Source organism: Homo sapiens, chromosome 6, assembly GCF_000001405.40.
Source record: "Homo sapiens chromosome 6, GRCh38.p14 Primary Assembly".
Lineage (NCBI taxonomy): Eukaryota > Metazoa > Chordata > Mammalia > Primates > Hominidae > Homo > Homo sapiens.
In genome coordinates, this window is record NC_000006.12 from 116,790,327 (window position 1) to 116,813,416 (window position 23,090).

Below are 23,090 nucleotides of genomic sequence, written 5' to 3' on the forward strand. Positions count from 1 at the left end.
CAAGACAGTGTGTTACAGGAAAACAGATGTAGGTTGAGGATGAAACTCTGGGAAGTACTCACATTTAATAGTCAAGTGGAGGAAGACAAATCTGCCAAAGAGTTAAAATGCAATGGCCAGGGTATCAGAGTAGAACCAGAAAAGCCTTTGCATCAGACTTAAGAGTTTGACTCATTGAAGGCTTTATAAATTATAGAGGGAACCAGGAAGGGGAATTTTGATGAGGAAGAGTTAGATCAGAAATGTAATTAAGATTCAAGGGAGATAAACACTTAAAAATAATTATCAAATTTGAGAGATAAAGAGTAACAGGTAAACTTTCCGTGAACTATTTCATCAGAGGTGAACTAGAAGCCAGATTTTAAATGAACTGAGAACTAATAGGTCACAAGTCAAAAATGACAATCTTCCTCTAAGCAGTCTATTGTGAGATGGAGGAAGAAAGAGGGTGACAGCTAAGGAAAAAGTAAAGATTTGGCACAGTGTTATTTTGTATATTTATGTTTTATACAGATGGGAGCAATGTGAACATGGCATCCAAATCCTTATCACTAGCCCTGACCACCATCCCCTGAGCTCACGGTCTTATGTTTATGTGGATATTTGATACATCTTAAAATTCTTCCAGGCATCTCAAATTCAACATTCCATCTTCTATTCTAAGCCACTTCCTCCTCCTATATTCCATACCACCTTTCAATAAACCAGACTAGAAGCCTGTAACTCATCCTTCAACAACCACTTCAAATAAATTACCACCTTCTATATGGCTTGAATTCACATACATATCCCCCTTTCTATTCCCTGGTACAGATCCTAATCATCTCTTAACTAGACTCCATTCTCCACCTCGTATCAGAGTGATCATTCTGGGGACTTTGAGCTACTTGTCCCTTCTGTGCCAGACACTTTAATGGCTACCCACTGCCCACAGGACAAAGACCCATGTTCCTTAGCAAGAAACTCCAATGGGTGGCATTCTCTCATGACCTAACCTCTACATACCGAAGAGGGCTCCTCTCCAGTAATACCAAAATGATAATTCCCTGAATGCACCTTCTTGTCGCACTTTCTGTTGTTGCTCCCACTTTCCTCCTTTATCTAGAATACCTTTCTGTGCTTTCTCTAATTAGCTAACTCCTACTCATCTTTCAGGGTTTCACCTAAACATCATACTCTTTATTTAAAGTCTTCTCTTAAGCCTTCCCATCCTCTCCCAGTGTGGTTGAGTGCCATTTCTTTATACCACTGTAATGCTCTATATACATTATAATCATAGACTTCCTCACACTGATTGAAGATGTTGATATGTGCCTGTTTCTCCTTGGATTTTGAGCTCCTTGAGATCATCAAAGACACCTTGCTGCTTTTGTACCTTGTTATTTAGCATATCAACTGGTTCATAGTAATTGCTCAAGTGCTTGTTCAACTACACTGAACAGTGGAAGAAAAGTAAAAATGCTCAAGAGAGGAGAATCCAAAGAGATTTGAGAAGAGGGTGTCGGGAATGGAGTAAGGATGACACATTACGGGACAACTTTGATTAGAAGAGAAGTCTTTAACGATGTGCCTAAGAGGAAGCAGGTAAAGATGGAGACCAATGAAAAAGGTAGGAAATGAAGGGAGCTTCAGGCTGAAGGCTCAATTCTATTTGTTAAATAGGTGATTGAACAGAGTGACTGTTCAACTAAAACTTGGTAAAGATGGTGGCAAGGAAATATATATGACATATTTGCTGGGAAAGTAAATTTATATCTTAGATGCAAAGACCCTGGAAACATTTTATTCTGGAATGTGGCATCTCCTAAGGCTTATTCATATACTTGACATTCTTTTTCGAGGCAAAGTTTTAGATACACTTGTGGCATTTTCCCTGCATATGTGTGCAAATGCTTGTGCCTGAAGATCTTTGCTTTTCTGCCAGGTTGCAGACTTGCCACTAGAGCTGGGATTGGTCATTGTGACATTGCCGCTCATGGAGTCCAGTGAAGCAGGACTCAGGGCAATGCTGCTCACACTATGGGAAGAATAACTGTAGATCATCTTGAGAAAGGCAGACTTTGTGTTAATCTCTTGCTTACAAATAATAACATAGCATTTGGGGATGAATGTGCAATACAGGATTCCATAGTTAGATATTAATATGACAATAATCTCCACAGCTGGTACATATTTGCCAAATGTGGTAGCATAGATAGGGATGAATGTGATCCAAGCTATGAAGTAAATGAGCATGCCAAATGTAATGAATTTGGCTTCATTGTAATTCTCATATTTGCCTTTGAAAGCAAATATGAAGCAAATGAAGGCCAGGATGGCAATGTAGCCCAGCATGGTGCCAAATGCAAGTATGGATCCCTCCTCACACTCCAGGATGATGACTCTGGGCAAGGAGACATTCACCTCTACAGTAGGTGCTGCAAAGATTAGCCAGAGTGTGCAAATGACAACCTGGATGCCCGTGCAAGTGAAGATAATAAGGATCGGTCTATAGAGGCACTTCAGAAATTTCTGTAATTTGGGATCAAAGCTGAAGGCTAGCAAAATTTTCAGAGACTTCGTCAAAATGCAGGAGATGCAAAGAGTAAAGCTCACTCCAAACATTGTCTGCCTGGTTTTACATGTGAAGTCTTGTGGTTCTCCAATGAAAAAGCTCGTGCTGGCAAAATTGAGGAAATGACAGAGAAGGATCACATAGCAGACTCTTAATCCCCCGGATGATTTCACAACAGGTGTGTTCAGGTTTCTTGTAAATATTATGCCAACAACCAGAACAAATATGATTCCCAGTAGGGAGAGAATCAGGAGTAGGATGGCCAAGGAGTCATTCCAGTTGAGATATTCCACTTCCTTTTCAAAGCACATAGTGCTCCTAACAGGGGCCCAGTGAGTTTTGTTGTTGCATAAAAGGCAGTGAGGCATATCTAAAAGACAGAGGAGACGCAGTTACATTGTCAACATTTAAACTAGGTGATAGTCCACAATACTACAAATGAGATTCGTCTTCTTTAATAGTTCTGACTAGAGAATAGATATAGATGATTGTTACATTGGTTACTTATTAAAATAAAACATGCTAAAACTCAAAGAAAGTGAGAGAGAAAGGGTAAAAGTGAGGAAAAAGGAAAAGAAAGAGAAAATAGAGAAAGAAAAAAAGCCAGCTGGATTGTGAATGTTTAGGAAATGAATATACTCAGAATAGATGCTAGCTTCTTATGCATTTGCTATTATAGATGATGGTTCCAGCACTCTTAAGAATAAGGTTTTGGAATCAGACGTAGCTTTTCTTATCTCTTCCACTTATAATTCCTGTAAACTTGAACAAACTAACTGAACTTTCTGAGCCTATTTCAGAATCTCCCATATCTCAAAAAATAATAAAATGAAAAGACTCTGCCGTATTGTGATGCCGTACTTAATGAGATAATAAATGTAAAATGCTTCACACAGACCATTACACATAGTAGACCCTCAATGTATGGGAGTTGCTATCGTGAATAAGGGTGCAGGTCTTTCAAAAGCAGAGGCAATATGGCTAGGTCACTCTGAAAGCTTGAAGTCTCTTTCTAAAAGTGAGATAATGCAAAATTGTAATCGATGGCAATTGATGAAGAATTAAAGTTTATTTTTTCTCCAAGTAGTGGGTAAATCAGAGCCTCTCACACTGTAAGTGTTAACTTTGAAAAGTATTTATGCTTATTCTGGCTGCAGGGCAGCACAAATACTTGATTTTAGAGTTTTGTCTCTAGAAGTGATATTACATTTGCTCCCCATTCCAGCCACCCAAAGTTGGTGAGTCTCAGCTGCAATCAAAGGGCCTCTGTCAGGGCATTCATCTGATGACACCCCACAGCCTGTACAACTCTTTAAAATTTTGTGTTCTCTTCTTTATTAACCTCAAAGTAAGGTTGTATTTCTGTTTATAAACTTCATGACCCTTCCAGCCTCCTCCTCTTTCCGAACTCTATTCCCCTAAAAAATCTGTTCTTTTCTGTTTGCCCTGTAACCACAGTTGCTAGTGTCTGTCATTTCATTCGTCCAGTGGACATTTAATGGCCTCATCTAGGTATGGGAGCTGTGTGTTAGAGAGATAGAGAGGAACAGCAGATGGTATCCTTTTAGGCTTTCCTAACTCCTAGCTTATCCTCCAAGTTGTCTTCAGTCTTCTACATTTCTCCATTTGTTCTTGGAAGCGACTTACCCTGTTACCAAAAGAAAACCCAGATACAGCCTTTAAAGGGTCCCGTACGTCTTTATGGAAAATAAATGTTACATACTCCTTGGTGTTTTTATTTCTCTCACTTGGAAGGTAGTTGCTAGTTACCATGTTGCCTGAAAAACTCCCTCGCTAATTATCTAATTTTTTAGGCAGTGGTATAGCATTTTTATTTATTGATAATTTAAATGCTCAATTCCACTAATATAAACATTATTAAACATACCAAGGAACGGGAAAATTTTAAATGTGAGATAATAAAATGCAGATACATATAAAGTTTTGATACTCTCAGGTTGGAATAAATGGCATTTTTTGTGTGACACATAACAGAACATGAATCTTGGAATATTTTCATTGGTATACTTCTCTTCTTGAAGCCAGTAAGCAAAAAGAATAGGCATTTGGGGACTATTCCAGTTCCGGAGTTCTCAGCTTTTCTACAAGATGAATGGGAATGCTCTAATAAACAACAACATCTGATGCTTTTAAATTAGGCTTAACTCCAGGGAAAGTGCTCATAGTTTCTTTTTAGGCTCCTAAGGCTGCTGACCTCACTCTTGTACTTTAATTTGTGTATTTTGCTTTCATTTTGTGAAATTTTTAAAGATAGGGTTGGCAAACAGTCATTTACTAGCATCTCATCCCTGTTGATAGTTGGTCCCTTGTCTCACAGAAGTTTCTTTTAGGTTTAACTTTTGTTTCCTGGTAGAAATAATAAAAGTGCCAGGATGTGCACACCTGTTTCTTAACTCCGGGTGCCTCTGGGTTTCTATTATGTTTAGTTAATTCAACATTTACTTATTTGTATTTTTTTTGTACCTCAGTTACAAGCCAAGCACATCTGTATAGGGATACATGGACAAAATTGACAGAGAACTTGCATCACTTTAAGAGTTGCATACTTTAAAAAATATGAGCGAAGCGATAACATTTTCCCTTGGAAGTAAAGTAACTTTTACATCTCTATTATTTATTTGCTGTGCACCTGTTGACATAATAGAGCAAATTCCAAGATAAAATGAAATTTCACTGGAATTTAATTTCACAGGAGCATGGGAAGCTTTTTAAATTTTTTCAAATGAAAAACAAACCAAAATAAAATTCATGCAAAGAAAAAAAAAGCCTAAGAGGAATGATTCAGGTGTATGTGGAGTGACTGTGATTACCTGTCTGATTAGTGTAATGATTTTCAGGACAGTTCTGACATTCATAGCAACAGATGTGTTGACTTCTTGTAGTTTTCTTCATTTGCCCAGGACTGCATTCCTTGGAGCATTTAGATTGAATTTGCTATATTAAAAGTGAAAAAAAAAATCACAAGTAAATTTGTAAAAAAAATTATCCTAATCGATTATCCTCGGCTTAACTTAAAGATATATTTACTAAATACTATTTTGGTCTTTTTTCATAGGATTATAGAATCTTTTTGCCATCGTGGGAAATGTAAACAGGATTTTAAGATGGAGAAGCTGCTTTACGAAGAACACAGTTTTTGTTGCATTAATAACTTCTGTAAGCAAATTATGGAAATTAGCCCTTTCAGAAAGTCCCTAGTAGAGGGAGAAATGTGTAGTACTAGAACTAAAGAAAATAATGACGGTTTGGAAAGTTTCAATCCCATGTTGAATGAAGGGTTCCACTAGATAAGAAAATAGCAAATGGCTAGATTTTTATAATCTTTGAAAGAAAGTTTTTATCATGCTGTCAAGGAGCATGTCCTGTCTAACTCCAAAAAATAAAAAAAAAAGAAACATTTTGAGTTTAAAATAAAATTTAAAATTTAATACTCTAATTTAATATTAGAATATTAGATTTAAAAGACAGGCCTAAATATATACTATTTAAATAATCTTGAGAATTCAAGTTATAATTTGCATGTCACAATTTGAATCACTGCAGCGTTCTACTTTTATGGAACCGTAGCTGGTAATTCTTTGCATTTCAGCTATGTTATTCTCCATTCATAGTCCCTTTCTCACAGCATATCTTGTGAGAGAAATCTGCTTTGTCATGTCACTTTTACCCTTGGAGCAGAGCAGAATGGTTAAATGAGTCTTTCTCAAGATTCTCTTATCCATAATTTCCTACTCTGGAACACAACTGAAGTACTAAGCTATCCAGTCTTTCTCTGGAAGATGCAAATGATCTGTCTGAGAGAGAAATGAAAAGATTCAGTAGGCCCTGGGTCTGCAAGCACTGGTTTTCTTCTTCTCTCCAGTTATTGCTGACCTGGGTTTTCAGCAGGCAGTATATATGCCTTGGGAATTCCCCAGGGCAAACTTTTAACGTATCTACTCTCCTGGAGGGTGCTCAGAGGACACAAAAGGATTTTATTTATTTATTTATTATTATTATACTTTAAGTTTTAGGGTACATGTGCACGATGTGCAGGTTAGTTACATATGTATATATGTGCCATGCTGGTGCGCTGCACCCACTAACTCGTCATCTAGCATTAGGTATATCTCCCAGTGCTATCCCTCCCGCCTCCCCCTACCCCACAACAGTCCCCAGAGTGTGATGTTCCCCTTCCTGTGTCCATGTGTTCTCATTGTTCAATTCCCACCTATGAGTGAGAATATGAGGTGTTTGGTTTTTTGTTCTTGCGATAGTTTACTGAGAATGATGATTTCCAATTTCATCCATGTCCCTACAAAGGACATGAACTCATCATTTTTTATGGCTGCATAGTATTCCATTGTGTATATGTGCCACATTTTCTTAATCCAGTCTATCATTGTTGGACATTTCCGAGATAAAGCCAGACATTGTTAGGGTCCCCTCTCTCCCTCTGATCAAGAGCAAAGACAGTCTAAAATCTTGTACTAATTACTTTAGATTTCAATTGATTTAGGATTATCTGATGTTTTGGACTATGAGTTCTGGTGACTTACCAGAAATGTCAATACCCTAACTAGCCTGCAAATTGACAAATCCGGAAATCTGACCTAAATGATTTCAGATATTGTTGGTTTTTACTGTATCCTTGAAATAATTATAGGTGTCTCCATCAGAAAGGAAGACTTGTCTCTCTGTTTGTAGTGGTCAGCCTCTTCCATTTAGTCACTAAGAGCCTCACATAATTACCTGTCATTCTGTCACCTTCTCTTCATTAAGTGAATTCCCTACAGAGTCTGGAGATAAGTATTGATAACAACAGTGTTTCTTGCAAAAATAATAACCATCTCTGCATTCAAAAAGGAAATGAATCAGAGCATGTTTTAAAAGTTTCAGTATGAGTTACAGTGTTTAGCAGAGTGCTGGGTTCGTAATGTAGTTGTGAGGATAATGGTAAGGAAAATGAAGATGATGACAGTGAAAGTTTGAGAACACAGAAGAATGGCTACGTTTCTGTCTTTCAAGGAAGAAGTATCTTGCTTTACTAAAACTTTTACAGCCAGGGGAAATCAAATTAAGGAAAATGGTTTACAGCATTACTGTGTTCATTCTTTCATTCACCAAATATTTGTTGAGTGCCTATCTATATGTTAGGCACTGTTCTAATTGTTGAAGCCACAGTGGGGAATGAAACACAAATATTTAGCTCGTCGAACTTAAGTTCTAGTTGACAAGACTGACAGAGTTAAAATAAGCAAAATGTACAGAATGACAGAAAGTTATAAGTGTTAAGGAGAAAAATAAGGATAGGACAGTGAATAAGAACTACTAGGTTGATGTTGCAATTTTTAAATAAGTGTCCAGGGAAGCTCTCACTGAGGTGGTGACATTTTAGAAAAGACAGAAAGGAATAAGAAAATTAACCACATGAACATCAGAGAAAATTATTATAGGCAAAGGAAATAGCAGGGGCAAAGTCCTTGGGCTATGAGAAGGGAAGCATGCATGGAAGACTGAAAAGCCTGTGGGATCGCAGGAGGGCTGTAGAGTAAGGGGAGGGTGGGAGATAAGGTCAGGTTCGTACTGGGGGTAGGTTGTGTAGAATTTTTAAAGATATGGCTTTTACTCTCAGAGAAATAGGATGTCATCAAAGGATTCTGAGCAGAGCACTATGTTTTACAGGACCACTTGTGTCTCTGTTTTGAAAACAGACTGAAGGGGGCTGGCGCGGTGGGTTATGCCTCTAATTCCAGCACTTTAGGAGGCCGAGGCAGGTGGATCACAGGGTCAGGAGTTCAAGACTAGCCTGGTCAACATGGTTAAACCTCGTCTCTACTAAAAATACAAAAATTAGCCGGGCATGGTGGTACACACCTGTAATCCCAGCTACTCGGGAGGCTGAGACCAGCAAAATGCTTGAACCTGGGAGGCGGAAGTTGCAGTGAGCCGAGATCACGCCACTGCATACTAGCCTGGATGAGAGAGCAAGAATCCATCTTGGAAAAAAAAAAAAAAAAAGAAACAGACCAAAGGAATAAGAGGGGAGGCAGAAAACCTTCTACAATAATCTGGGTGAGAAGTGATTGTAACAGCAGTGGAGTAGGTAGTAAAAAGTGGTCAGCTTCTGGACACATTTTGAAAGTAAAACTCATTGGTTATGGAGTGTGACCGAAAGAGAGGTGACAAGAATCCCAGCAGGTTTTCTCATGAGCAACTAGGAGAAGGGGGTTGCTGTTTATTGAGAGGTGAGTAGGTTGGGAGAGAATATCAGTTCTGTTTTGGAGATTTAAGTTGACTGCTACGCATCCAGGTAGAGATGTCAACTAGGCAGTTGTATATTTATTTGGGTTAGAAGTCAGAAGATAAAAATCTAATAGTCATCAGACTCCCATATAATGATATCATTTAAAGCCCCAAACCTGGATAAGATCACTAAGGAAAGGTGTAGATAAAAAGAGGAGCAGTTCTGAGTCCTGGGCACCTGAATGATTAGAGGTAGTGTGAATGATGAGGAACTAGCAAAGGAGACAGAGAATTAGTGGCAAGATACACAGGAAGAAAATCAAGGAAATGTAGTGTCATGGAAGCAAACAAATAAAATATTTCATTGAGGGGAGAATAATTAGCTGGTAAGTGATATATGTTAATATTTGGCTTTATTAACTTTGGTGAGCTAGACAGAAACAATTTCGATGGATTGAAGAGGATTCAAAAGAGTATAGGAGGAGAGAAATTGGGGTCATTAAATGTATTCAACTGTTTCAGGGAGTTTTACTGTAAAGAGAAATAGAGTATACAAAGAAAGACTTGGGGGAACAACAAAGGTTCTTTGTTTTAAGATGAGAGAAATAATGACCTATTTATCTCATTATGTGTATAATGTAGAAGAAAGAATGATTGAGAATAAAGGAGAGAGGGTATAAAATTACCAAGTAATGTCTTTGAATAAGTGAAAGAGGTTGGGACCCAGAGGTGAAGTGGAGGAGCTGACCTTGACTAGGGGCACAGACAGTCTGTCTATAGTGCCAGATGGAAGGCAGGGGTACTGGCACAGATGTGACAGTGGCCACTGGAATTCTCTTCTGATGTTTCAGTTTTGTTAGAACAGAAAATAGAGTTAACTGAAATGAGAACAGGAAAGATGTACTGATCTCAGAGGAGAGAAGAGAAGGCATAAAATAGCCATCTAGGAAGGTGAGTTCATGAACTAGGGCAATAATCTGATTGCCCTGCAGCATTAAGAGCCCACTGGAGGCTAGAGATCATGAATTTAAAATGAGACTAGTCAGCAGTCTCCCCTCCCCTCCCCTCCCTCCCTCTCTCTCTTTTCTTTTCTTTCTTTCTTTCTCTCTTTCCTTCTTTCTCTCTCTCTTCCTTCCTTCCTCCCTCCCTCCCTCCCTTCCTTCCTCTCTTTCTCTCTCTCCCTTTCTTTCTTTCTTTTTTCCTTCCTTCCTTCCTTCTTTCCTTCTTTCTTTCTCTCTCTCCCTCCCTCCCTCCCTCTCTCTCTCTCTTTCTTTCTTTCTTTTTCTTTCCTCTTTTGCCAACTTCAGCTAAATAGGAGCTACACTGATTAGGCAGAAACTTGATTAACAGGGATTGTGTTTGGCCAGATGAGTATGATGAAGAGTGGGGGCCAAGGACTTTTGCAGTTGAGGTACCAATTGCTTTGAGTGCTACAAAACGGCCTACAACAAGGTTACCTTAAGATTCCTGAACTCATTTTTTGTTTCCTGATCTGGGATGATGAAGACATCATTCTGTAGGTCATATTCTGCCATCTTAGTGACAGTCATGTGTCCATTGATCTCCTTCCAGAGCACAACATCATATCCAGTATTTAAATCCCCGTGAGCATCAAAATGAAATGAATTCCATCCATCAGTGAATGTCACATTTTTTAGCACACCAAGTAACTATAAAAAATAAAAACAGAGATAAGCACTTAATATAAATGTTGCAAATGTATCCATTATTCTAATGATAACACTGCCTTATAAAGCATATCACTTAAAAATGAGGGAAAAAAGATTATAAATCACTGGTTGGAGAATTCTTAACTATCTGGCAACAATTTGAGAATGAATTTCACTTGGGTCCTAGCCTCATTTCTGCCTAACTTTTGCTATATAAATTTGGGAAAGCAAGTTAATTTCTATAGATGGTTGTTTCTAAGTATCTTCGTTTATCCTACAGAATTTTAGAATGGGTCCCCTGGTATAGACACCTGGGATCTAACTCTGGTTCCATCTCTCATCAATGCAAGTACAATTACTTTCTATCTGATTATCTCCAATGGTTCTTAAGTTTGTTTCAATGATTGAGTATGTAGTAAAGTGATCTCTAAATTATATTTCTAAGCTAATTCACAAAATGATTTATTTTTTAACTTGAGAAGAAAGAAATATAAGGATAAATTACCTGTCTTGCTACCTAATTTGCACAGTGAGAGCTTGTATACTATAGAGTTAGGACAAAAAATATTTTGTTTACAAATGGGATAGCCATACTGAGGTTGTGCTGTAGTGGAAGAACAATAGGCTGGAATGTAGGGAAACAGGCTGCTGTTCTGGCTTCACCATTAACTTAATATATAAGTATGTCAAGTAAATATCCTCTCTGAATGCTTTCATAATGGCCCATTTATTATCTAAATCTATGGTTCTGTGTGGCTTTTGTTGGGTATAAAATCTATAGAATAAGGCAGAAATTATTCTATTTGAAGACAATTATTCTATTCTATTTCTTTTGAGTTAACTTTTTATGAGTGTTTCAATTTTTTGTCAATAGAATATAAAAAATAAGTTATATTTTCAAGTAAATAGATTAGCTATGATGGTAACATCAATGAGAAATGTTACTTTAGCAGAATGTCTACGTGTGTGTATTTATGTCCCCACAGATGTCTTAGCTCTTTTAATGAATATCAATTAATTAGTGTTACTTTAAAGAAGCAGGATATCAGATCTAACATGGTGGAATTCACTAACAAAATTTTATTCTAGCAATTGCCTGGAAGAAAAAAAAGAGGAGAGAACAAAAATAAAAGAATATGCAAGGGCCTACCTCCAATGTTCTCACTTCTATCTGTTGACTGGTTTGTTTCTTCTGTTCTTTCCTTAAGCAATATACACATGTAAACCCCAGTAACTCAGTTCTTTAGGGAGCACATCCTCTTCCACACAAGTGTTTGAACTATAATTTCTACCTCTTTTTTCCTGTGCTTAATTAGGCTTTATAGGCTAAAGTTCTCACATGTATTTGTTCTGTAAATAATCATAAAATTGTATAATGTAAATAAACTTCCACAATTTTATGCTTGCTCTTACAGGAAACAGGGTGGAAGCAAATACAACAGTATTTTCATTACTCATTAAATATAATAAAACATTTGCTTTGAAGTAAGGTTAATCTTAAACATTACCACTCCAGTTATTAAGCTGTTAACTGCTTTTTCATATCATTTAAAAAAATTTTCATGGAGACTCTGAAATTCACTATCAATTGACACTACAAAATTTAGAGAATGGGATTTGCATTTCAATTATTATCTTATTCACCTGTGTATGATAATGCCTAGTTTTTAAGCACACATGGCCAGGAATCACACCAATTAAAGTGATATGGTTGATATTGTTTTTCATTGTCCTAACTGTGCTGATGCTTGCTCTACCTCATTAAGTAAGGTTACTGTGGAAAGAGGTATCTTCATGGCTAAGTTAGAGAAGAGCAGAGGAAACATCCTTGCCTCTGTGTCCTGATGCCCAGACGATACCTTCTTTTGTGAAGCAGAAAACACATTGATCTAAGGCTGGGGCAGCAGTTTCATTGCTAACTGTGTGAATCACCACGGGACAGGTCTTTACTGTTAAGGTTCCCTCCATCTCTAAACTCTGACAAGTCTTGGTCACTAGAAACACTTCTTCTTACTACTTCTTCAAGATGGAATTTAAGGAAGATGAGTCCTGTCGGCCTACCATATTTTATAAAGATTAGAGGTGGTGTATATCAGTACCTAGAACCATATGTTTTAAAAATTATTAGTTACTATTATCTTACCATGCCAAAATTACTCTCATGTCTCTCTTGACTTCTGGACTAATATGCAACTACCTTGCTACACTTACAATACATGTCTCATAAATTCATCAAATTCAACATCTCCAAAATGGAATGCTAAATATTTCTTACTCCCACCAGACCTCCACTTTTCTCTATGTTTCCAGCTTGACAAATGACACCAGTTGTCCAATATTGGAATCATCTGCAACATTTTTGATGCTCTCTGTCATCATTTACATCCAATTGATCTCCAAATATTCTTCATCCTCCCTCTTAAATATCCATATATACATCTTTTCATCCTTATTTTCATACCTGTAGGCATTCTTATCTTATGTCTGATTTACCAAATTGGTGTTTCTTCCTTCAGTCTTGTGTCCCTCTAATCAATTCACCTTGGATGGAAAAAATATCATATCACTCTTCTGCCTGAAAATGTCTTTAATTAGCTGCCCTATCCTCTGTCAAGTTCAAACCTTTGAACATAGTTTGCAACATTTCCATTTAAGGGGGAGTCTCTATACTAGCAGTATCAGCATCATCTGGGACATTGTTAAAAATGTAGACTTTTCAATCCCACTGTGGAACCACTGAATTAACATGATAATAAGATTCCCAGGAAAGTCAACTGCACATCAAAGTTTGAGATGCCCTGATGGACAAGGCTCTAATAATATGTCTTTCACTCACTCATTCAGTTAGTCCATTACAGCTCTCATGCAAGACTCCAGTCATATGCCATGATTTCCTGCTTCCTAAAGATGCTGTGCTTTCTTTTCTCCCTTTTCTGGGACTTTGCTGGAATATTTCTGTTCTGGCTAACTGCTACCCTTCCTTGCATTCACATAGAGGTCATGTTTTTTGGAGAATGTTCTCTGAATTGTTAATACTGGATTAGCTGTCTCACTTATGTACTTCTCTGCCATCTTGTGTTTATGTGAAACACTGTAGTGTACCATCCTTCATTGTAATCAGCCCCTTACTTGTTTGATTGTATATATCAATGGACAGATAATTCCTTTAGGGAAGGAATTCTGTCCTGTTCTCCGTAATATCTTCACCACTCAACACACTGCCTGAAACATTGAGACACCAAACATTTGCTAAATAAATATATGAATAGAAGTTCAACTATTAGGCATTCTTTCTTTTCTCATACATCACTTACTACCTTATATATCATCAGAAGTAAAGGAAAACAAACAAACAAAAAAACCGAAATCTCTAGTCACAGCAAGGAGGTGGTATCCTCCACACACATCTGAGGAACATTAAAAATCTGCTGAAGTAAAACAAGCACGACTGTGGTGTCCCTGAGTATGGCTCACAAATATGACCACATATAGGGCCAAAATAAGTGCTATCCTCAAACACTGGGAAAAATTAACCCCTTTAAAATTATTTGCATCTAAAATCATTTAGAAAGTGCTATTTAAATATTAGTGAATTTTGCTAGGGTACAAAGTAATCCTTAAGAATGTATCATTGACTAGGGACCCTAAATGTTGCTGATCTTTAAAGTTTAAGTCTACAGAGATTTCTTTATAAAAGGATAACTCTTTGTATTGTTTGTCTTACTGACTCTAGCACTGACTTGATGTGGCTCACTCACGTCTTGATCAAAGGAGCAAGTCATCCCCCTGTTCTTCCTTTCTAATCTGTTTCTGTTTGTTTCTAGATTAACAGGCTCTGAGGGCAAAAAGAATGACTCCAGGCTCCTAGTGTTTAAATAAAACATTTTAGGAGACTCTGCTTAGATAATTTCTTCTCAAATCTTATCCTTGAAGTGTTTGAGACTTATTCCTAATTTAAAATACTTTCTCTATTTTTCCCCAGATCTTCAGGGGGTGAATAACTCTTGCTATTTGCATTTCTTTGTCCTTATGAGGTTCTTTATATAACCATCCCCCGCTCCACTTTATGTCATCTGTCTCCACAACTGTTCTCTATTTCTCTTTCTCAATCTCTTATTTCTAAAATTCTATGTGGTGGTATTATTACTGTAGTCTAATTTTAAAAATTAAAACAGTTTTTCTGCAGTGCACCAGGCCAAAAGCCTTGAAATATATTAGAAAACATTGTACTGAACTTGGAATATAGTGAATAATGATGATCTAAAAAAGATAATTTATGGTTTTTACCACCATCATTAAAGTTTTATACTACAAAGAGAATGCTTTCATATAGGTGTCTTAAAGTCATCAGACATAACTATATATATATTAAAAGAGTGTTTGCAATTGAGAAAAGGTCCTAATCTCTAGTTTTACCTCCTTATTAGATTTTTGGCTTTGTATTCATAAGGTGAAAAGTAGTTTAAAAGTGAGCAATTTAAAATACCCTCCCACCATTGCATGATCCTCCCAAATGTTAACTGGTCATATCAGACCTCGAATATGGTAGTTTTGGGTGTTTAAAGTAAAAAAAAAAATGACAAAAGTAGAAAAAACTTGTTCTAGATACCCACTTGTATGATCAGAAGAATTGTCTCATTTCTTTTACCTTCTTTTCTCTTACAAATTTAAAACTTATATATTTTGTAACATGATTCTGCCTCAGGACATACAAGTTTGCCTTTGAATACATATTATTGAGACATTTATTTCTAATAAGTAAAACATCATTATTAAAAGAAGCAATTTACTTTTCAATGCCTTGTTCAAGGGCATTTGAGAAAGCACAATGGAAAATTCTCACTAAATTAAAGCCATATTAAATTTTAAGTTTCCCCAAACTAATCAAAGAGAAGAAAGGGAAAAAGCTCTTTTACACACAATTGCTGGTTTCTTTAAACCTGGAATATCATAATTGACCTAACAACATTCCTTTGAAGAAAACTGGAGTCCAAGTCCTTTACGTGTATACATATACACATAAAGACCATTAGAGTCTTTATGTGTATATGTATTTATTTACTCTACCTCCATCCTAACTGAGAGTCTTAACTATAGGTGTTGGGATTATAAACCACCAAAGACAGTGAAAAGCAAGGAAGGTGGAGTCAGAAGACCCAGACTGCAGTTGTATTTCTGGTACTCCCCAGCTTTAGTTTCCTCATCCATCATATTTAGTAAAAAACAAAAGGATTATTAAACGTGTCTGCTCTAACTCTTGTGTTTTTTAAGAGCATTTAAAAGCGATAATTTATATGACTCAAGGAAAATAGCAACATCAAAAGAATTTTCATGAGAAATAAAAGAATACAACTTTGGTAGGTCAGAGTAGGAAGTGAAGATAAAACACAACTCTGTTATCTTGAAGAGTAAGGCACTATGATAGAAATGCTGGTTATTTAAACACTGAAAGTGTCTATTTATAAAAGGAATAGGATTAAGAGCAATTAATATAAATCTTTGCAAATTAAAACAAGGGAGGAAATGGGGAAAATGATGGTAGAAGAGTTTTTCTTGGATGTGTGAGTTAGTACCTCCCATGGTTGAAAGGCGTTGGGGTTCTGACAGTCACGAGCTTGACACAGATCCCGAATGGCATAACCAAGGGCAAACACTGCAAGCTGAATACTATGAATGAGTCCTGGCTCAGCATAGTCCCAGAGGAAGTCATTTCTCATGACGAAGTTCCTTTCTATAGCCTTGTTAGCCTTGTAGGCCAAAGTCCTTTGAGAATGATTGAATATGCATTGACTCAAATCAGTGTCCTTGACATATGCGCAGGCAGATAAATGCATGGCATATTCATGTAAGAGTTTGTGACTGTCACTGGGAAGCAAGTGCAGATTTTGAAGAAAGGAATGGAAAGAGGATATATTCCCTCTTCTAAAGGCAAACCCTACAACTTTGCCAATCTTTTTAACATTAGGAATGGTGGTAATCTTGGTGGCAGTTGACCAATTATCACTAGCAATCCACATCTTATTTATATTCATTTCAATGGCTTTATTGAAGAGATCAAAAACATGGAATTGCCTCAGAAATACCACAATGACATTAACCTGGGCTTCTAAAATGATTTTCTTCAGTGTCCGATTGATTCTGACTTCAATGGTATTATCTGAAAGAAAGGCTGGAAGAACCTCTTTGAAGGCTATGCACACGTTATTTGCTTCAGCCTGAATTATAAAAGTGTTAAGAGCCAATCGTCCATAGTCATCATCTGTGGTTATGATGCCAATCCAGTTCCAACCAGATTTCTGAATCAGGTGAGCCATTGCTTTAATTTGATGGAAGTCACTGGGCACAGTCCGTAAAAATGAAGGAAAGCGAATTTTGTCACTCAGGATTTCTGCAGTTGATTCATAACCCACCTGGAAATAGACAGAATATTTTAGTTATGGTGTTGATGAACTCCAGGTAACTGTTCACAGTAGGTGTTCCTTTCTTTGATTGCTGTAAATTTTCATGACTTTCCTTAAATTCTCTAGTCTTTTTCATCCTTCTCCTTACTTAGCCCCTGATGATGGTTTAGAATCATGGCTTTCTAATTATTTCATATTTTGTTTAGTATAGGCCCTCTGAGAATTCAGGCTGTATCTCATTTTCCATTTACACGTCTATATTCTTCTATATTTATCTTATATCTTTGGCCAGGGGCCAAGGGTGGATATTATTTAAATACTTAGAGGTAAATGCGGTCCATCATATAAGCAAAATGCAGTTTGGAACATCAGTGTGTGCAAAATCTTGTCTAATTCATAATTTGGGTAATTTTATTCTAGGTAAAGTTAATCAGTCAAATAATCATCTTGTCCAGGGGTCAACAAAATTTTCCTGTAAAGAACGAGATATAAAATATTTTAAGCTTTTTGGTCATATATAGTCTCTGTCATATCTATTTTTTTGTTACAACCTTTTAGAAATGTAAAAACTATTTTTAGCCTGAAAGCTCAAGAGCATGAGAACCACATTTGGTCCGCAGGCTGTGATTTTCTGACTCCTGATGAAGTCAAATAAATATCAGCATTTTTGGAAGACCTACTTAATGTACACAAAGTTTTGCCTGATTCATAGCTTTGGTGAATTATTACCTTCTATAGATGCAATAGTAACATGTCACTTGCTCAGTATTTCTTTTTCTTTTTCTTTTCTTTCGTTCCTTCTTTTTTTTTTTTAACTACTTACAGCTGCCATGTGGTGTGATGGAAAGACAATAGGCTTGGGAACCAGATAAACTGTTAGAATCCCAACTCCAATAAATTTGGGAACGTTATTTAATGTTTCTTTACTGTAAAGTTATAAGATTCTTGCTAAGATTAAAGGAGAAAATTTAAATAGATGCGAGCACATGGTGGACTTTCAGTAAACCTAAGTTCCCTTCCAAGTACCTGATGTTGCTATGCTCAGCCACATTGTTAAGAGCTGAGCTTTCTTAAAATTAGTGTTACCCATAGAATGTCCCCTTACCTTTTCTGCCGTCTATTACAGAAATTGCATTTTTGCATTAGCCAGTTGTTGTTAAAAAAGTCTGCTTTCCTTACGTATCACCTAACTAGTATCATACATAGTCTAGAAATTTTAAGCCAAAGCCTTATCTTTGATGTATTTGATAAATAGTTCTTTTTGTTTAATCGTTTTGGATTAAATTTTTTATTACCGATGTCACTAGGCTATAATATAATGGAATGCTAATAGTCTTTATTTGTATATGTATTTATTTACTCTACCTCCAAAATGTTATATATTTTGAATTCTTATACACATTCATTATGTTATATATATTTTCTGTCTGCTCACTTCTATCAGATGGTCATTTCTTTATCATCTGAATATAAGCCTTTTTCTTTTCTAACTTTTGGCTTCTCTTCTTCCTTAAGATTAGAAATCAGTGACGTAGAGAGTTACAAAGTAGTGTGATTTCAAAATGAAAGCCAAAGAGACTTAATTGACTCTGAGTAATGTTCAATAACTTAGTACACAGTGCTGTGATATCTGATTTTTTTTTTCAGAGATCTTTTTGCTTATTTTCTGGTTATTGGCTTGCATTCCAGGGAAATAAATAGTTCTACAGTCTTTGCTCAAAGCCTTCCCATCATATTCAGAACAACATGCAAACCGTCCCAGGGCTTACAAGATGCTACATGACCCAGGCTTTGCCTGTCTCTACAAAAGCATCTCTTACTATGTTTCCTTTTGCTTCAGCTGATCTAGCCAGATTGGCCTTTTTGCTATTCTTTGGGCATTCCAACTCTGCACTTGCTGCTTTCTCAGATACTAGACCTGATAGACTGAGGGGTAATTACTCCCTTAGTACTTTTTCACTATACTCTCTGTAATGGTGTGCATCCTTTCTTTAACTAAAGAGAAAGAAAAGTTAAAGTAAAAGTGACTCCCTAACTAGTTTCCTCAGGTTTCCCTGATCCTTTCATAATAACAAATGTGATCAAAAGCAATGTTTGGAGGTAGCACAAAACCTACCTGTGGCATGAGCTGTAAATTCAACATCCTGGAGACAGCCATAGTTATTTCTGAGTACCCAGAACCTATGACAGCCTTAACTCTTGGCATGTAGCTGGAATAGTCACACTTAAACTCCACAGTTTCTCTGGAGCAGTTGAATTTAGAAAGAAACCTCAGAGTGGCTGCCATTGCCACTGTGACTTCTGTACAAGTGTCATAGATTTCATACCCCAGTTTGACTCCAGGTAAGAGTGTTGAATTGTTGATCATCTCAATGCTGTGTATCATGGCAAGAGTTTGAAGAAAAACTGATATTTCAAAGCTGTTGGGAAACAAGTATTTTTTGAAATCAGAACATAACTCTTCTATGGACATGGCTGTATCTCATTTTGCCTACATCTCCTCATAGCAATTTCTGGATGAGTGAAGCTTATCTCTTAAATGATCTAAATTTTATTTAAAAACAATTTTTCATGATAATATTTATGAAGGGTAATATAAGAACCCACAGTTTCTTAAAAGGAGTCTATGCTACAGGATTTAACCTTTTCTTGGTGAATTTTTTGATCATTTTGAACACTGCAATATGAAGATGTGTTTGATTTTTGTTCCTTTTTGTAGTTAGAGATCAGCATTTTATTGCTGTCAAAATGCTTGCTTTTTAGACTCATAAGCCTGTCTTTTAGTTTTCTGATTCTAGTCTGTGTGATTGGAAACCAGATAAATAAGACTCTTAAGAATTACATTTAAACAGCTTTGGTTAAAGCTTAACAGCCTGCTCCTAGATAAAGTGTCTTATTTTAGTTCTGAGACATAGCTATTTCCACATTCAGAGTACATTTTTTATACATCTTGATTTGTGATTATTCCAGAGCACTGAGTTGTCTGATTACAGATTTACTGTTAAGTTTATTTCATCCACCACTATATACAAGTTATTACAAATAGTGCCTAATATATAATAAGGGTTCAATACACATTTTTAAAATGAATAAAGGGGGATATTATTGTTCAGGGTTTGATATTCTAGTTTCTTTTTAGTTCATTAAGTTTTGATAATTAAGCTATTTGAATATTACTATTTGTCATTGTGAACCATGTTTAGATGGTTCTATCTCTACAAATGCATCTCTTACTATGTTTCCTTCTGCTTCACTGATATAGCCAGATTAAATTTTTTGCTATTCTTTGGACATTCCAATTTTGCACTTGTTGCTTCTTGGCCAGATACTCTTCTCCCCTCCCTAAAAGAATAAAGTAAATAATAATAAAAATATATTAGTAAGTTAAACTATTTGAAGATTACTATTTGTCATTGTGAACCATGGCTTGCAATGACAAATAGTAATATTCAAATAGCTTAATTTATCAAAACATAATGAACTAAAAAGAAAGTATATCAAAACCCTGAACAATAATATCCCTCTTTATTAAAATTTTAAATTTAATTAAGAAATTTTAATTTAATTAAAATTTTAATTTTAACATTACAATTTCAATTAAAAAAGAGAAGTAAGCCCAGCTCATCATTGGCACAACCAACATTAGCCAGCACCACTCAGGACTTAGAGGGTCATCCTGTCACTGCCGTTGCCATCATGCATGCCACACAAGTGTCCCAAGAACCCAAGAAATCACCAACCTGCTGGTTCCATGGCTTCCACTATCAGTATTTGAGTAAGGCACCTGGAGGCCCAAGAATTGGCCTGGTTTGACCTAACACTGGTGCCAGTGTATACTGCCCTGGGACACAATGATGGGCATACTTAGCCCATTGCTAACACCACTTGGGCTCAGAGACTGGCTTACTTGGCATCCCAGTCACCAGCAAAACTGCATCATAGCTCCCATTAATAACTGTACCTAGGCCACTGAGGAAATGTCAGATGGCACTTATGCCAGTCATGGCCAAAAAAATCAAAGAAACTACACTACTACTGCAACCAGAATAAAAGCCAAAGGACCCTGCCCAACCAACACTATCTATTCATCCTTAGGAAACATTCTCCCCCTACAAAAACAAATTTTTAAAAATTGGAAGAAGCAACTGAAACATCAGATGTATATATATTAACATAAGAACACAGGAAACATGAAAAAGCCAGGAAAATGACACTTTTAAAGGAAGATATACTATCATACTGGTCTTTAAGAAAAAAAATGTAAATAAATTTTTTAAAAAAGGAACACAATAATTCTCCAGAAACAGATCTCAATCAAAAAGCAATTAATGAAATTCCAGAAAAAGAATCCAAATTAGATTCTAAAGAAGGATAGTGAGATACAAGATAATTCTGAAAAACAATACAAAGAAATCTGAAAAACAATTCAGGATATGAATGAGAAGTTTACCAAAGACATAGATGTCATAAAAGAATCAAACAGAAATTCTGCAACTGAACAATTCATTGAATGAACAACATAACACATTTGAAAGCTTCAACAATAGATTAGTTCAAGCAGACAAAAGAACCTCTGAACCTGAAGACAGTTCAGGTTCAACTTTTGAAATAACCCAGCCATGAAAATATAAAGGAAAAAAAAAGAATTAAAAAAAGCTAAACAAAGCCTTCATGGTATATGGAACACCATGAAGTGACCAAATATACAAATTATTGATATCCCAGAAGGTAAAGAGATATTGAAATAGTTAAACATATATAACAAAATAATAGATAAAAACTTTCCACATCCAGCAAGAGGTTTAGACATCCAGATACAGGAGGCCCAGCAATCCCTAAACAGATACAATGCACAAATTCTCCACAGCACATTATAGTCAAAATGTCTAAAGTCAATGACAAAGAGAGAATTCTAAAAACAGTGAGAAAAGAATTTAGTCACCTCTAAAGGAAATCCCATTATACTAACAGAGGATATCTCAGCAGAAACCTTATAGGCCAGAAGAGAATGAGATGATATATTTAAAGTGTTGAGGAAAAAACCCTGCCAGCCAAGGATACTATATCCAGAAAACTTATCCTTCATAAATAGAGGAGAAATAAAGTTGTTCCTAGAGAAGCAAAAGCGGAGGGAATTCAGCACCACTAGACTGGCCCTAAAATGCTCAAGGGAGTTCTATACTTGGAAGTGAAATGATGATGCTTATCATGGTGAAAACACAAGAAAGTGTAAAACAATGGTAAAAAAGAGGAAGGACTCAAATGATACTACTGTAGATATTCATCTACCAAACCACAATGACAAAAAATGAGAAAAAGAAAACAACATAGAATATATAAAACAAACGGTAAGCAAGAACATGACAGGAACAAAGCCTCATATGTCAACATTAACCTTGGATTTAAAAGGATTAAATTCCCCTCTTAAGAGACATAGACTGGCTGTCAATATTATACTAAATGGGCAAAAACTGGAAGCATTCCCTTTGAAAACTGGCACAAGACAAGGATGCCCTCTCTCACCACTCCTATTCAACATAGTGTTGGAAGTTCTGGCCAGGGCAATCAGGCAAGATAAAGAAATAAACGGTATTCAATTAGGAAATGAGGAAGTTAAATTGTCCCTGTTGGCAGATGACATGACTGTATGTTTAGAAAACCCCATCATCTCAGCCAAAAATCTCCTTAAGCTGATAAGCAACTTCAGCAAAGTCTCAGAATACAAAATCAATGTGCAAAAATCACAAGCATTCCTATACACCAATAACAGACAAACAGAGAGACAAATCATGAGTGAACTCCCATTCACAATTGCTTCAAAGATAATAAAATACCTAGGAATCCAACTTACAAGGGATGTGAAGGACCTCTTCAAGGAGAACTACAAACCACTGCTCAATGAAATAAAAGAAGACACAAACAAATGGAAGAATATTCCATGCTCATGGATAGAAGCATCAATATCATGAAAATGGCCATACTACCCAAGGTAATTTATAGATTCAATGCCATCCCCATCAAGCTACCAATGACTTTCTTCACAGAATTGGAAAAACTTACTTTAAAGTTCATATGGAACCAAAAAAGAGCCCACATTGCCAAGATAATCCTAAGCAAAAAGAACAAAGCTGGAGGCATTGTGCTACCTGACTTCAAACTATACTACAAGGCTACAGTAACCAAAACAGCATGGTACTGGTACCAAAAAGGAGATATAGA

General features: G+C 36.3%; 1 protein-coding gene across 5 annotated transcripts in view; it reads right to left on the reverse strand.

The window, feature by feature from the left end:
• Positions 1–1,758: 1,758 nt before the first annotated feature.
• The window catches only part of GPRC6A (G protein-coupled receptor class C group 6 member A), a 37,156-nt gene continuing 15,824 nt past the window's right edge, over positions 1,759–23,090 (reverse strand). For 2 of the 5 annotated variants that reach the window (XM_017010475.2, NM_148963.4), the window contains 5 exons: positions 18,988–19,291; positions 16,044–16,880; positions 10,258–10,470; positions 5,386–5,509; positions 1,759–2,924 (listed from right to left, as the gene is read on the reverse strand). In XM_017010475.2, coding sequence (XP_016865964.1) covers positions 1,816–2,924; positions 5,386–5,509; positions 10,258–10,470; positions 16,044–16,880; positions 18,988–19,291 — 2,587 coding nt within the window. In that variant the 3' untranslated portion in view covers positions 1,759–1,815. Of the gene's footprint in view, positions 2,925–3,889; positions 4,203–5,385; positions 5,510–10,257; positions 10,471–16,043; positions 16,881–18,987; positions 19,292–23,090 lie in introns of those variants that run through there. The other 3 variants (NM_001286354.1, XM_017010476.2, NM_001286355.1) reach the window with 3 other exon arrangements.